The following is a 16,490-nucleotide window of genomic DNA, read 5'->3' on the forward strand; positions in this document are numbered from 1 at the left end:
TCAGCCAGCAGATGCTTTTTGTTTGGCCTGCAGTGTTTAAAAAGAACATTATTGCCAATATTTAAAAATCAGAGATTTCATGTAAAAAATCTGGGTCCTCATCAATTATTGGAATATTTAGTAACATCAGGCCAGTATACCCACAAGGAATTAACTGGAGCTAATTAGCGGCTATCCACTTTATATGAGGTATGTGCTCTTCAGTTCAACATAGTTTCCATTACTTCACCTTCAAACTATATCCAGAACCCAACCATTCCACACCACTTCACTGTTATCTCCTTAGTTCTAACTGACATCACCTCTCACCTGGATTATTACAAATTACCTCTTAACGGAACTCTTTGCTTTCTTCCATTCTCCCTTTGGGGATATACTCTTAATATAATGGCCAGAGTGATCCTGTTAAAAGCCTAAGTTATTCATTTATTTAACAACATTTATTGAGCACCCTTATATACCAGCCACAGTTTTAGTGCTTGGAATCCATCAATGAGCAAAAAGCAAAAGCCCTGCCATTGTGGAGGTCCATTCCTTTGCCCATGGACCAAATCTGGGAAATTTGAGCATCAAAATAAATAATTATAGTGAATTATAACCTGAGTAAAATAAAAATCTATGAATCCATACAATAATAAACAAAGGAGAAAGAAACACTCTTCATTATGGTATAATGCCAATTAATAAATAAAGATAAAGTTTGAAAACCACTATTCTGCCAGCCTGGGCAATAAAGCAAGAACCTAGCTCTACAAAAAAAAAAAATTTTTTTTTAATTAGCCAGGCATGGTGGTGGGCACCTGTAGTCCCAGCTACTCAGGCGGCTGAGATGGGAAGATCACTTGAGTCCAGGATATCAAGACTGCAGTGAGCCATTATTGTGCCACTACACTCTAGCCTGGGTGATAGAATAAGACTCTATTTCTTTAAAAAAAAAAAAAAATTTTAAGGCTGGGCACAGTGGCGCCTGTAATCCCAGCACTTTGGGAAACCAGGCAGGAGGTTCAGCCCAGGAGTTTGAGACCAGCCTGGGCAATGTAGCAAGACCCCATGTCTACAAAAAATAAAAAATTAGCCAAGCATGGTGGTGCATGCCTGTAGTTCCAGCTACACGGGAAGCTGAGGTGGGAGGATCACTTGAGCATGGGAGGACGAGGCTGCAGTGAGCCATGAAGGCACCACTTAACTCCAACCTGGGCAGCAGAGTGAGACCCTGTCTCAAAAGGAAAAAGAAAAGAAAAAGAAAATCACCTTTTTGCTACTATTCTTGAAATAACTGATTCAGAATAGAATCATCAATAAATGCTAAACTATTAGGCATCCATAAACTGCAAATATAATTCAAAAAATAAAAACTAAAAAAAAAATGGTTAGGCAAAACTTTAAAGAAGAACAGAATAATTAGTTTCAAAGTATCTCCCCATGACTTACATGTTAATTACCAAGGGAAAAATTATAACTTTCCAGTTAAGAAACCACAGACACCATCTTAACCAAGTAAGCAGATTAGTATCACCAAAAATGAGACAAAATGACATCATATGCCTGCCTCCTGTAATCATGAAAACTGACAGTATGTGCCTCCTAATATAATGCACTGAGAGAAGCACATCACTTCTATGGTATTTTAGGCAAAAATTTATAATCTGAATCTAATCATGAAAACATCAGACAAAACCAAATTAAGGGACAGTCTATAAAATAACTTGCTTGTACTCTTCAAAAATGTCTATGTCATGAAAGACAAAAGCTGAGAAACTCACAACTAAAAGCAATGCATGATATGGCACTAGATCCTGAATAAGGAATTTTTTTAAATTATCATAACAGACATTATCGGGTACCAGAGAAACTTTAATATAGTATTGTCTCAATGTTAGGTTTTCCAAATTTGATCAATGATAGTTATTTAAGAGAATGTTTTTATTCTTAGGAAATAAACACATGAGAATTTAGGAGTCACAATAACTCTCAATGGTTCAGTTATGTTCACACACAGAGATCATAATAAAGCAAATGTGGCAAAATGTTAACAATTGGTGAATTTGGGATAGGTTATACAAGAGTCCTTTGAATACCCCTCGCGAATCTTCCGTAGCTAGAAATTATTTTAAAATAAAAAGTAAAAAAAATTGAAAACTCTGATGGCTATCTAAGAGCCATTTAAGAGTAAAAGCCAAAGTCCTTACAATGGCCTACAAGATTCTATACCATCTGGCCTCCAGTTAAGTCTCTAACACCATCTCCTACTATACTCCCGCTCATTCACTCCATTCCATCCACCCAGCTTCTGGTTCTTGAATACACGAAGCACATTCTTGTCTTAGACCGTTTATACTTCCTGTGCCCTTTGCCTGGAATACTTTTCCTACAGATATTAACAGGTCACTCAGGGATGCCTACCTAACCACCCTATTACAAACTGGAACTTCTCTTCCCCAAATACTATCCCTTTCCCTGTTTTATTTTTCTTTATAACCCTTATTAAGTACCTTACAAACTACATATTTTATATATTTATTTAATCACCTCTCTTCTCCCACTAAAATTTAAGTTCCACTATAGCAACAATTTTTCTGTCTTGTCCACCACTACCCTTGAAACAATGCCTGACACATAGTGCACTCTCAGTAAATATGTACTGAATGAATGAATTTCATGTTACTAGCCTGGCTCATTAAGTAAGCATCTGTTTCTTTCTAATCTACTTTACTATTTTGTCCAAATATGCTGCTTACACTCAACCTCCCATTTATGAAAACAATTCAGTTAAGCAAACAACAAAAAGATGCAACACATCCACATTTTCTCAATATATAAAGGATTATCCTTTGTGAATCCTCAATTTTACTAGGCTGAGGAAGAGGCAGAAATAACTCTGCAGAATGACAGAACAGAACTGATGGAAAGTCAGCTTCCTGTGACCATCACCTCCTACCCACCCCTCTTTTCACTTCAATCAGAAGGGACATAGGAAGCAATGTTCCCCTCCAAGACTGGAATGCCCAGCAAAAGGCCATGAAGATAGTTAATCAGAAATACTGGCCCTCTCATGTCTATCAATTTGCCATCCACCACCTACCTGCAAAAGATCTGGGTTTTGCTCAAACTGTAATAGCTCTTAACCTTTACAGTCAGCCTCACTGTATCTGAACATGGAAAGCAAAGAAGCCTGAGGCAGGCAGAAGGCTCTAGTAAGCACTGACTTACGCTGTGAGTAGAGCAGGATTTGAAACTCCAGAAGGGCACAAGTAAAAAGCTGAAACACATTCTCCACCCCGAGCAGTTCAAAAACCTCTTTGACAGGAAAGTCAAATAGGGGAAGCTCATTGGTACTTGGTCTCTGGCAGATTATTGGCCCATAGACCCCAGAAAACTTCAAGGACCGGCCAGGAGGTGGGAGCGGCACCTCGTAGAGTACGTTGTATATGTAGCTCTCAAGGGGCAGTGGAGGGGGCTGAGGTGAAGTGACTGCCTGGTGGAGTTGCTCCAGCACGCTCCGACATGCCTTCATGAAAGACATGGGTGTGATGAGGCAGATGCACTTAGAGACGTAGAGAGTGTCCCGGCTAATGTCATAGGAGTTGAAGCGCTGCAGTTTGGTCACAGGAGTGTCTTCACCATCCTCCATGCTGCTCTGGTCTCTGTCATCAGCAGGGGGAGCATGTAGGACATCATACTCAGCATTGTGCATGTGGTAGAGGGTCTGCATTGCACTGCAGATCTGCTTGCTAGTCACCTCTTCATAAAATGTGAGGGCAAACCCAAATGTCCGAGAGCCATCCTCCCTTGTGATAATAAAGGCATGGAATTGGGGCTCCCTGGGATCAGCCTGGGTCTTGAATGCCAGCCCTTTCGGCATACATAGCTGCAAAAGACAACAAGGCAACAAGCAGTGAGAACACTCACTGGCGATCCTCTTTCAGAACACCATCACTATTTATTTATTTATAGAGCACCTACTAAGCTGAGCGTGTATCTGGCTTAAAGCTCTCTCTTTCTAATGCAAGACATGCAAGTAAATAAAATCATAATGCAGTCATCAGGGATATACAAAAGTATATGCAAAGTACTACAGGAACACAGCACAGACAACTCAGCCTGGGAATATCAGAAAAAGCTACAAAAATGGGCCAGGTGCAGTGGCTCACACCTGTAATCCCAGCATTTTGGGAGGCCAAGGCAGGTGGATCGCTTGAGGCCAGCAGTTCAAGACCAGCCTGGGCAACATGGCGAAACCCTGTCTCTACTAAAAACACAAAAATTAACCAGGTGTGCTGGTGCACGCCTATAATCCCAGCCACTGGGGAGGCCGAGGCATAAGAATCACTTGACTCAGGAGACGGAGGTTGCAGTGAGCCAAGATCATGCACTGCACTCCAGCCTGAGCGACAGAGCAAGACTGTCACCAAAAAAAGGTAATGTTAGAGTTCATCAAGTACACAAGGGATAGAAGGGTATTTTGGGGACAAGAAGAAAATGCACAAAGACATGGAGATAAAAGAAAACTTGGAAAATTTAGGAAATGGTAGGTGGTTAAGCATGACAGCATGACAGAGAGTAAGATATGTATATTAGGAGATGATGCTAGAAATATATCTAAAAACCAGATACATGCAACTTTATACCTAAAAATAAAACAAACTTGTAAATAGTATTGGACTATCACCTCACAAAATTCTGTCATTAGTAAAACTTCTTTTCACATCAAAAAGTATGCTCATTTCATATAAACCAAGGAGATGACATAATCAGGATAAAGATGTACTGTTTTCACTCTAATTCAGAGGGGTTATATAAAGAAACTTGGATAGTTAAACGAACTGACCTGAATCAATCAGTTCCCATTTTCCAGTTTTACATGAACCTGGCTATACAAATAAAATATGATATCCTGGGTTAACAAATACAAGGACCTATATTATATTATATCTATTAGCCTTAAACTTGACTTCCCAAAGGCTAGGTATTTCTAGAACATAGCATGTTAAAATGAAATAAACGCTAGACTAGGAGTCAAAAAACTTGAGGCTCTCAAAGACAGTTTCTTCATCTGTGAAATAATAATATAGTTTCCTCTCCCTACTTCACAGGGTTTTTGTATGCATCAAACAAGACCATCCTCTAAAAACTACAGAATGCTATTAAAAATGTAATAGAAGGCCAGGTGCAGTGGCTCACGCCTATAGTCGCAGCACTTTGGGAGGTCAAGGTAGGCGGACTGTTTGAGCCCAGGAATTTGAGAACAGCCTGGACAACAGAGCAAAACACTGCTTCTATAAAAAAAAAATCCAAAAAGTAGCCAGGCATAGTGTCGTGCACCAGTAGTCCCAGCTACTCGGGTGGCTGAGGTGGGAGGATCACTTGAGCTCAGGAGGATGAGGCTGCAGTGAGGCAAGATCACACCACTGCTCTCCAACAGCCTGGGTGACAGAATGAGACCCTGTCTCAAAATCAAATGTAATAGAGGCAGTACAAAGATAAGGTTAAGAGCAGAGGTCTGGAACCAGACTACAGTGCTCAAACTCCAACTCAACTACTTATTGGCCATGCGAGCTTGAATACATTACCTAACCTCTTTGGATCTTAATTTCTTCATCTGTAAAATATGTACGTGTGTATGTGTTTATTTAATACTACCCATGTAAAGAGTACTGTAAGGATTAAATAAGTTAATTCATATAAAATGCTTATTAGAGTGCCTAGCACAAGGTGAATATTCAATAAAGGTTAGCTTACTCTAGTGGTATATTCTTCCACATGAGATTTTTAAATGCTGTCCTATCTAAAATTATGATGAAACAAAAAAATGAAAATAAAATTATGATGAAACAAAAATACCCACTTCTGTCATATTACTTAGATATATACAGTGCAGAATGAAAGAAAACAATTTTAAACTAGTGAAGTTTAAAATTGACTCATCATATAATCTCAATGCAATAAATAATCAACAGATCAGGACCACAAAATAAGTTCACTGACACAATACTATGTATTTCTCTGACACAACAGAAACACATTATAACTTTTAGCATATTTAATATATTCTGAATATTTGGTATTTTGACCAAAATGCAGAATAATAAACAATATGCATTATAATCCTTTCTTCAAAAGTTATTGGTATTTGGTGGCACCACTGCTACCACAGCCTGAACTCACAATCCTATTATAAATTACTCTGTAAATTATCTCATACTTGTGGCTAACAAATACCAACCATTCCTACTGCATCTTGGTCAAAGGGATTCCATTCTACGTTCTCAGGATATCGTGCAAGGACCTTAGATTTGAATGTTCTTCTCAATGGTGTCTGCTCAAAATTTTCTCCTGTAAGAAAAAGAATGAAGTAAATCATTTCTACAAAATCCCTTTAAGTCACAGGGTTATAAATGTCTGAGCTTGGTAGTCCAGCAAGGTACAGAAATGAAGGCAAGGGGGTTAGTATGCCAACCATCTAAGAATAAAAATAGGAAAGGCATTAAAGTTATTAGGTCAGTAAAGAAGCTGAAAAAGTATAGCATGGTTAATGTCAGACATCACTAGCTGTCAGTTCTTCTTCAAAATGAAATTACTACTCAAACCCAATGGTTAATTTTCATGGGAGAGAGTGAGAAAGCACAAGGAATGACAAGGATTGTATCTATCTTTTTTTTTTCCCTGAAAGCCACATTTAATTTGCTTAAAGTCAACTAAAAACATCACAGAAGCATATTTTACCTAAAATTCAGAATAAACTATGCATTTCAATGATCTCTGGGAAAAATACAAAGAAATGAAAAGATGTAAGAACATTAACGAAGCAGATTTCAGGGTAAATCTAATGAGATATTCTGTCAATTCAGAATTACTTGAAATTTCTGGAATTGTCCTTTGTTTTCCCATTCCCCCTCCTAAAAACACTAAAGTATATTGAAATAACAACATTAAAGTGAAGAGAGAAAGAACCAAAGAACCCACCACCTAGAGGGATACAAATCTGAAAAATCTAGTGGTCAAAAAAGGCACAAGAAAGTTAGAAGGTCAAAGGTTACAAAATGCCACTGGAGAGATATATGTAAGAACCATTAGAAAGCTTTGGGTGTTCTCAATTTTGTTTTGTTTTTACCTTCAGTCGTACTTGAAATGAAAGGGCTGGCACCATCCCTGGCTTTAGAAGCCTGTATGTACTGGCATAATGCTATATGATAAATGAAATAACAGAGTATTACAATAAAGCAGTGTTATTCAAACTTTTTTGACCATTATTCCAGTACAAATTACATTTTACATTATGAAACAATAAACACATACATGTATGTGTATACATAAATTTACCTAAAGCAAAAATTTCACAAAACAATACTTACCTTTACTATATATATAATGTCCTCTCATATTTCCTACTCTATATCATTAAAACAAAAAATGCTGACTGCAGACCTACTAATTATCATAATTCAGTTTGAAAAACATTATAATACGGTATAGTAGAACGAAGAGCTCAACTGATACCAAATTACTATAAAGTCACTAGTGCTTTATCTAAAAGTATACTATCCCAAATATTGCTTTTCCTAAGGAATTAGGGAGTGTGGGACAAATTAAATGCATATAAACAGTTCAAACAAACAAATCTCAGGTGTCGGGGGAACATAATCAAGGACAATTCAAGTGAAATCTATACCTGTTTACTGAGTAATCAAGGGACTTAGATATTGTGAGGAATAGAGATGAACCAGACAAAGCACATACCCTCAATGATCTCAGTGTCAAATATACAGGAAAAAGAACATACACATACAAATAACCATTTCACAGGAAGGCTATTATCTGGGAGGCTCCAGATCTTTCACCTACGTGGCCTAACCATTCAGAGTACACTTGCACAGGGTCCTGTTTGCGTGTGCTAGTTGACAGAATAAATTCTGTTACAAATGTAGTTTTTCTAAGTTGGTCTGGAACCTAAAGGGACTTGTGGTTATTAAGGAAAATGCATTCTTCACTATCACAGGATGAGATGCACCTAAGTCAGAAAATCCTTTACCCTAAATCAATCCCAAAGGCACCTCAAAAGTTTCTAAAAGAGAAAAGTTTATAATAACTCTAAGGCACCTGTTCCAGAAACTAATAATAATTCCAGTCAGAAAGTTACTGCTTTTATAACTACAATCTCTCCTCTATTTTCTCTGAGGTTTTGTCCATCATCAGAAGCAGCAGCTCACTTATTCACAATTTTCAAATTCTGATAGGACCCAACCTTCTTTCTGTTATTAAAAGCAAGTGCCACAATTTCATTCCTCTTATTTCCTGATCCTTCTTCCAAACAAATTCTTCTGAAACTTTCTTTTTGAGTAAATTTCGTCCCTCAAAATACATTTGGTAATCTTCACTAAAGACTGGCAAAAATCAGCAGGCAGCTGGTAATAGCTGCAGCAACAAGGCCTACAGCTTATGTAGAGCTAGGCTCAGAGCTTTCTGTAACACCTGCAGAGCCCACCCATGGTAAGCCTGCACTTACTGTACAAAGTAATTAAGCAGCAAGCCGCTGACATAATGATCTCGTCTACAGTCTGAAATTCTTGGGATGTATTTTTAAACTGCATTCATGTCTGAAAGAAGATAACTGTTTCTTCCTCCTAAGCTTCTTCACTTTCAGTTATCAGTTTGTTCATTTCTTCCTAACTAGCCAGAAAATCCCCTCAGTAAAAACCACGAAATATCACAACAGAGAGAGGAATCAGGACAACTATCACCGTTCTCTGTAAAGGAAAGACGCCTTCCTAAAATGGCTCTAGGCGTCTATGGCCATAACCACCCTAAATGCGCCTGATCTCATCTAAAATGGCTGTAAGGAGCTCCCTAAGACATGACATGCATGTGTGAGAAGATAGGAAAGCTGAGTGATTAAGGGGAGAACTTTTTAAAAGTGAGATGAAGAATGGAGCCAAAGGTGAGCATGACCAGCTGATCTGAAGTGTGGTCAAAAGGGAGAGAAAGGCTATGAATCACTGGAGAAGTGATTGTTAGAGCCTCTGTCCCCACCACCACCTCTCCACATCTGCCCCTTCTTTAAATTAGCTAAGGGAAGAAGTCTTGTTAAAGAGTCTGGTTCTAAATAAAGGACTATACGGGGTGCCAAAGTTAGACAAATGTCCTTCTGTGAATTAGACTGGACCAGTAGCAAGAGCAAAGTATTTTCTCCATAAGGGGAAAGGAGATGTATAAAGAAGTATGAGGGCCCTGAAAACAAATCATATTCTCATTTCAGCCGCTCTACAAAGAGTGCCAGAAAAGGTAAGAGAAGGGGATTCACAAACCTAAGATTTTTTTTAGTGAAATGATTCACTCATCATTTACTTAGGGCTGAGTTTTAAGAATAAACAGTAAGGGGCTGGGCACGGTGGCTCATACCTGTAATCCCAGCACTTTGGGAGGCTAAGGTGGGTGGATCACTTGAGGTCAGGAGTTACAAACCAGCCTGGCCAACATGGTGAAACCCCATCTCTACTAAAAAATACAAAAATTAGCCAGGCGTAGTGGCGGACACCTGTAATCCCAGCTAACTGGGAGGCTGAGGCAGGAGAATCACTTGAACCCGGGGGATGGAGGTTGCAGTGAGCTGAGATCACACCATTATACTCCAGCTTGGGTGACACAGCAAGACTCCATCTCAAAAAAAAAAGAGAAGAAACAGTAGGAAAACTTAATCCTCAGAAACACCTACATAGGCCCACCTCCTGAAACCTGTGTATCACAGGTACCTTAAATTCTCAATTATTTAGACCCTTGGAAATTCAAACAATATTAGGAATATGACATCACCAACATGACTGTCCTATTGTCCTAGAAACAACGACTAATTATTTGTTCAACACATATAGATTATACAAACATCAGCAGATCCAGATATAAGATCTAAAGCCCATTTCCAAGAACAATTTCAAAATTAGTCAACTATGTGTGAGTCTATCTTTGTGAATCTGCTTCCAAGGAAGTACAGTTCAAATCAATCATAACAGACTTTTTTTTAAAGCATACATGCCTTACAAGAACTTCTAATAGGTTTTTTATCTGTTCTGTTTTGACCAAGCCAGAAATAAATCGACATTTGTTGTTGTTGTTGTTTTGAGATAAGGTCACACTCTGTTGCCCAGGCTGGGGTGCAGTGGCACAATCACGGCTCACTGCAGCCTCAACCTCCTGAGCTCAGGCTATCCTCCCACCTCAGCCTCCAGAGTAGCTAGGACCACCACGCCCAGCTAATTGTTTAAATTTTTTTGTAGAGTCAGGGTCTAGCTAGGTTGCCCAGGTTGCTCTCAAATTCCTGGGCTTACGCAATCCTCTGACTTCAGCCTCCCTTACAGGCATGCTCCACCACACCCAGTTTAAAGACATTTTTATATCTGGCCTCTTGAAGGTGATAGGGAGGATAATATAAAGATCTGTGAAACTACAATGGGAAAAAATTGATTTTATCAACAGAATATTTTATGTCTAGTTCATACAGATTCTGCTTCCAGTCATGGCAGAGTAGCTCCCTTCAGACCAACTTTCCTGCAGACAAGTATGAGCTTGTCTGGAGAATTAAAAAGCAAGAAGATTCTCAAGTAGGGAAGAAGGTCAGCACTTCAAAGAAGGTAATGATACTGGGTGAGTTTCCCTTTTTTATGGCTTCCAGTCAGGCAAGTACCTGTCTGTCATAAGAGGTGGGTAAAACTCAAAAACTCATAATCTTACTAGCTTAAGAAACCAGAGGGCAAATTTTAAGGCAAACCACAGCAGCTGGGAAGTGAAAGAGGGAGATTCCAGAGAGAACCACAGAAGGGAAGACCCAAAAATCTGTGTACAAACTCTGCCTACAAACCTGGCTGATCCCTGAAACACGCATGCATGGAGAAGACCCCAAGCAGCCAAGTTAAGGGTAAAAGAACTGAACTGAAATTTAAGTTGCCACCCACTACAGGGAAACAGTTAACTTAAAAATAATAACAATAATAATAATAAAATAAAAAAAGAATGCTCTCTGGAGGGAGGTAACAGAATCTAGTTCTTTACAATCCAGAACTGCTCAGCATATAAAGAAACAGGAAAATATGACCCATTCTCAAGAGAAGAGTCAATCAACAGAAACCAACCCTGAGTTTACTCAAATACTGGAATTAGCAAACAAGAATTTTAAAGCAGCTATGATCATAATGAATGAAAAAATAGATCTCAGGCCAGACATGGTGGCTCACTCCTGTAATCCCAGGACTTTGGGAGGCCGAGGCGGGAAGATCACGAGGTCAGGAGTTCGAGACAAGCCTGGCCAATATGGTGAAACCCCGTCTCTACTAAAAATATAAAAATCAGGCGGGTGTGGTGGCGTGTGCCTGTAGTCCCAGTTACTGGGGAGGCTGAGGCAGAAGAATCTCTTGAGGTTGAGGTGGAGATTTCAGTAAGCCAAGATCGTGCCACTGCACTCCACCCTGGGCAACAGAGCAAGACTCCGTCTCAAAAAAAAAAAAAAAAAAAACAGATCTCAACAGAGAACAGACATTACAATGCAGTGGGCTGGCTTAAAAGCAGATTGGAAATGACAGGAGAGATACTGACCTTGAAAAATGAACAACAAAAATTATCCAATCAGAAATACAGACAGAAAAAAGGATTAGGAAAAGAAAGAGCTGGCTGGGCGTGGTAGCTCACACTTATAACCTCAGCACTTTGGGAGGCCAAGGTTGAGAGGACTGCTTGAGGCCAGGAGTTCAAGACCAGCCTAGGTAACACAGCAAGACCCCATCTCTACACAATAAAATGTATAAATTAAAAAAGAAAAGGGCAGCAGGAGAGAGGACCTCAGAGATGTGTGGGGCAACAAGTCTAACATAATATAATTGGAGTTCCAGAAGGAAAATAGAAAGAATGAGGCAGAAAACAATATTTGAAGAATTAATAATCAAAATTTTCCCAAATTTGGTAAAAGACAAAAATTTACAGATTCAAAAAGCTCAATGGACTCCAAGCAGTATAAATGCCAATAAAATAATACACAAGTACACCACAGACAAACTTCTAGAAACCAATGATAAGAGAGAACCTTGAAAAGAGCTAGAAAGAAAGGATACACATTATATTCAAGGGGAAGAAACTGAAATTACTACTGCCTTCTCATCAGAAACAATGAAGGCTAGAAAACATGGAACAACACAAGTACTGAAAAAAAAACACAAATAAATAAAAATCTGTCAAACCCAGAATTTTATGAACAGAAAAAATATCCTTCAAAAATGAGGGCAAATTAAAAACATTTTCAGGCAAAACAGAGAGAATTCATCACCAGTAGACCTGTACAGGAATGAGAAAAGCCAATCACAACAGGTTACGTATTGTGTGATTCCATTTATATAATATTCTTGAAACAATAAAATTAGGGAAACAAAGAATGGTGGGGAAGGGGGAGAGTTGGGTGGTTGTGGGGAGAGGAAGGTAGATGGGTGTGGCTATAAAAGGGCAACCCCAAGAATTCTTATGGTGATGGAACTCTTTGATACCTTGACTATATCAATGTCAAGTTCCTGGTTCTGATTTTTTTTTTTTTTTTTTTGAGACAGAGTTTTACTCTTGTTGCCCAGGCTGGAATGCAATGGTACAATCTTGACTCACTGCAACATCCACCTCCCAGGTTCAAGTGATTCTCCTTCCTCGGCCTCCCGAGTAGCTGGGATTACAGGTGCCTGCCACCACATCCAGCTAATTTTTTTGTATTTTAAATAGTGACGGGGTTTCACCATGTTGGCCAGGCTGGTCTCGAACTCTTGACCGCAGGCAATCCACCCGCCTCAGCCTCCCAAAGTGCTGGGATTACAGGCGTGAGTTTCTGATAATATCTATATAGTTCTGCAAGATGTCACCAATAAGGGAAGCTGGGTAGAGTGCACAGGGGATCTCTCTATTATTTCTTACAATTGCAAATAAATCTATAATTACCTCAAATTTAAAGTTTAACTTAAAAAAAAAACACCTTTTTTTTAATGGTTCTAACAACCTCTCAGGGTTTTTAAAACAGAGGCTGCAGGCAATATATTTCAAGCATTCAAAACTATACTGTGGGCAGGGTACGGTGGCTCACACCTGTAATCCCAGCATTTTGGGAGGCCGAGGCGGGTGCATCAACTGAGGTCAGGAGTTCAAGACCAGCTGGGCCAACATGGTGAAAACCCATCTCTACTAAAACACAAAAATTAGCCAGGCATGGTGGCAGGTGCTTGTAATCACAGCTACCTGGGAGGCTGAGATGGCACGATCGCTTGAACCCTGGAGATGGTGGCTGCAGTGAGCCGAGATTGCACCACTGCACTCCAGCCTGGGTGGCTGAGCGAGACTCCGTCTCCCAAAAAAAAAAGAAGAAGAAGAAGCAGTGAGCCAGGGAGGGGACAAGGGAACCTCTCCTGTTTCAGTATCACATAGACTGCCTCAACTTACCATATCAACAACAATCCTATAAGGTCTATTTCATATTATCTGTAGATCATCTGCAGCAAGAGTGATGAAATTCTTTCCTCTGCGAATGCATACGTCTAAGTTAATATGCTATCCTTTGCATATTGGCATTCTGGGATATACTAAAATTGATACTACTGGTGACCAACCACGGTCATCAACTGAGTGTCGTCCATGCTATAATCAGTTTATTTCCCACACTAAAAGATGGCACTGTATCTTTCCTGTTATAAACACTTGTGAAATAGACTGCCCAATAGCATAGTACTGCTACCAACTCACACTTCTATTTTTTGTGCATGTTGAGAGCCAGGTTGTTTTGTCTTCAACTCTCTGGCTGCTCCAGCATTTCAATTCTCCCTATCTTCCACATAATTTCTGAACCCCTATACAAATCAGAGGGCATCACCTGTCTGATGGCAGGGCACAATGTAGGAAGGGAAGAGATTACACATTTCTAATTAAATGAGAATTAACCTTATCATTACTTTTATTAATAGATGACTTTCATTACTATCAGCACTTTTTAAATAGAGACACCTTAAATACAGGCACACATACACAATAAGGACTGCAGAGCTTTGGAAGCTATCACTCTTCCTTATCTCTTCTTCACATGAAATTGATTTTACAACTCCTACACCGTAAAGAAAAGAAGGTAACTGTTCCTTGAAGAGACAGGCTGTAACTTGGCCCACATCACCAGCTGACTGTGATGCTCAGGAGTCAGACATTCACAAGTAAGTACCCAGAATACAAGCAGTGAACTGTCCACTGCCCCCCAACCCCCACCCACAAGACTTTTTTGTTTTGTTTTGTTTTTTTGAGACGGAGTCTCGCTCTGTCACCCAGGCTGGAGTGCAGTGGCACAATCTTGGCTCACTGCAACCTGTGCCTCCCAGGTTCAACTGATTCTCCTGCCTCGGCCTCCCAACTAGCTGGGATTACAGGCGCCTGCCATCACCCTCAGCTAATCTTTCTATTTTTAGTAGGGATGGGGTTTTACCACATTAGCCAGACTGGTCTCGAACTCCTGACCTTAAGTGGTCCATTGTCCACCTTGGCCTCCCAAAGTGCTGGGATTACAGGCATGAGTCACCGCACCAGCCCCGCAGGCCACTTCTAAGTCCTCTTCCAAGGCACTAACCCAGGAAAGCTGCTTACCAGGCTTTTCAATGTAAATTTAAGAGAAACCCTGTTACTCCTATTTTCTCAAGGCAGATTTGTTCACTCTCTTTCTCAATACATTTACTTTGTCAGATAGTTTTAGGTTTGTATACACAGCCATTATTTTTATTGATGTTTTGCCTCCTGCTTAACATCTTCCAGGCACCACACATGATCCAACTCATGTACCTAGTATTTCTAAAATGGCTGAACTTCTTATGTGACCAGTTTTAGAGAGACTAGGTTTGAGAGCCTATCCAGTCAGGACTGTTCCAAACTGCATCTAGGACAAACTGAAAGCACTTTTGTTCACATTGCCTTCCTTTTAGCCCAGCCGAATGCCCTGCAGAGCACACATCTGTCAGGTAACACCTGGAACTCACATTATTTCCTGTTTAGTGGGTGATGCAACCAGCTGTCCAATTCATGGTCTTTTAGACCAGTCTAAGAAACCCAATCCTGTGTTCTTTTTTTTTTTTTTTGAGATGGAGTCTCGCTCTGTCGCCCAGGCTATAGTGCAGTGGCACGAACTCAGCTCACTGCAACCTCCACCTCCCAGGTTCAGGCAATTCTCCTGTCTCAGCCTCCCTAGTAGCTGGGATTACAGGCACACACCACCATGCCCAGCTAATTGTTTTTGTGTTTTAGTAAAGATAGGGTTTCGCCGTGTTGGCCAGGCTGATCTCAAACCCCTGACCTCAGAAGATCCGCCCGCCTCAGCCTCCCAAAGTGCTGGGATTACAAGCGTGAGCCACCGCGCCTGGCCGTTCTTTTATATAATTAATAAGTTAGTTAGATGTATACGCACACTCTTCCAAATATAGTGAGCTCCCAGAGGCTACACAGGTAGGTACACATGCACCTTTCTCTAAAAGCTAGCCCCTCCAGAAAATTGGGCTTAAGCAAACCCATTTCTGTAACTAAAAAGTGGCAAAGGCCAAATGTGAACAAGGGTCCCCATGCTCTCCTCAATACCAAATTTTAATGTAATCAGCCTAAATTAAGTCTGAGCAACTAGTCAAGAAGGCAGGAGACAGGATTAAGGACCTAACTTGGCTACTTACTAATTGTATGACATTAAACAATTTACTGAGTCTTGTGAGTCTCATTTTCTTCACCTGAAAGATGAAGTATATGACTAGCTGCTCATCTCTAAAGGTTTTTCCAGCTTGGTCATTCCATGACTATTGGGCCTAGAGCCTGATACAGCATGGGAATCCCACCTTTTAAACTTTCAGTGAAAGACTGAGGGCTGAAGGTATGCATTAGCTCTTCCTCAGCTACCTCTCTCTTTCCAAAACCTTGCTAAAACAATGGAGGATGGGGAGTGGCATAAACCCACAAAATCAGAGTGAAGGTAATAGTAACAACATTTTAGAAGCTGAAAAGCTGATGGATGAATGGTTACCAACAGTAGGCTTGAGAAAGGCTGAGATACAACGTAACCTCCAAAAAGCTCAGGAACTTATAGCATTAGGCACCTTTCAAAGTGGGGATAAAGATGGAGCTAAAAACAGGAGGACTAACCGAAAGCCTGTTTAAGAACCAGCAGGGCAGGGGACTGTGGCTCATGCCTGTAATCCCAGATAATCAGGAGGATGGCTTGAGGCCAGGAGCTCGGAACCAACCTGGACAATGTAACGAGATCCTGTCTCTACAAAAAATTTAATAATTACTAGTCTGGAGGCTGAGGTGGAGGGATTGCTTGAGCCTGGGAGATTGAGCTGCAGTGAGCTGTGATGGTGCTACTGCATTCCAGCCTGGGTGACAGAACAAGAGCCTATCTCAAAATAATAATAATAATAAGCCAGGCATGGTGGTATGCATCTGTAGTACCAGCTATTCAGGAGGCTGTG

The 16,490-nt window shown here is 40.2% G+C and overlaps 1 protein-coding gene across 5 annotated transcripts in view; it reads right to left on the reverse strand.

The window, feature by feature from the left end:
- The window catches only part of DENND5A (DENN domain containing 5A), a 126,526-nt gene that overhangs the window by 61,625 nt on the left and 48,411 nt on the right, over positions 1-16,490 (reverse strand). For 3 of the 5 annotated variants that reach the window (NR_145966.2, NM_001243254.2, NM_015213.4), the window contains exons 2-4: positions 7,112-7,183; positions 6,224-6,333; positions 3,211-3,868 (exon numbers count right to left, since the gene is read on the reverse strand). Coding sequence is in view for 4 of the 5 variants with exons in the window: in NM_001243254.2 (NP_001230183.1) it covers positions 3,211-3,868; positions 6,224-6,333; positions 7,112-7,183 (840 nt within the window). In the remaining variant the exon portion in view is untranslated. Of the gene's footprint in view, positions 1-3,210; positions 3,869-6,223; positions 6,334-6,723; positions 6,760-7,111; positions 7,184-16,490 lie in introns of all 5 variants that reach the window. The other 2 variants (NM_001348750.2, NM_001348749.2) reach the window with 2 other exon arrangements.

This window comes from Homo sapiens, chromosome 11, assembly GCF_000001405.40.
Source record: "Homo sapiens chromosome 11, GRCh38.p14 Primary Assembly".
Taxonomy (NCBI): Eukaryota; Metazoa; Chordata; class Mammalia; order Primates; family Hominidae; genus Homo; species Homo sapiens.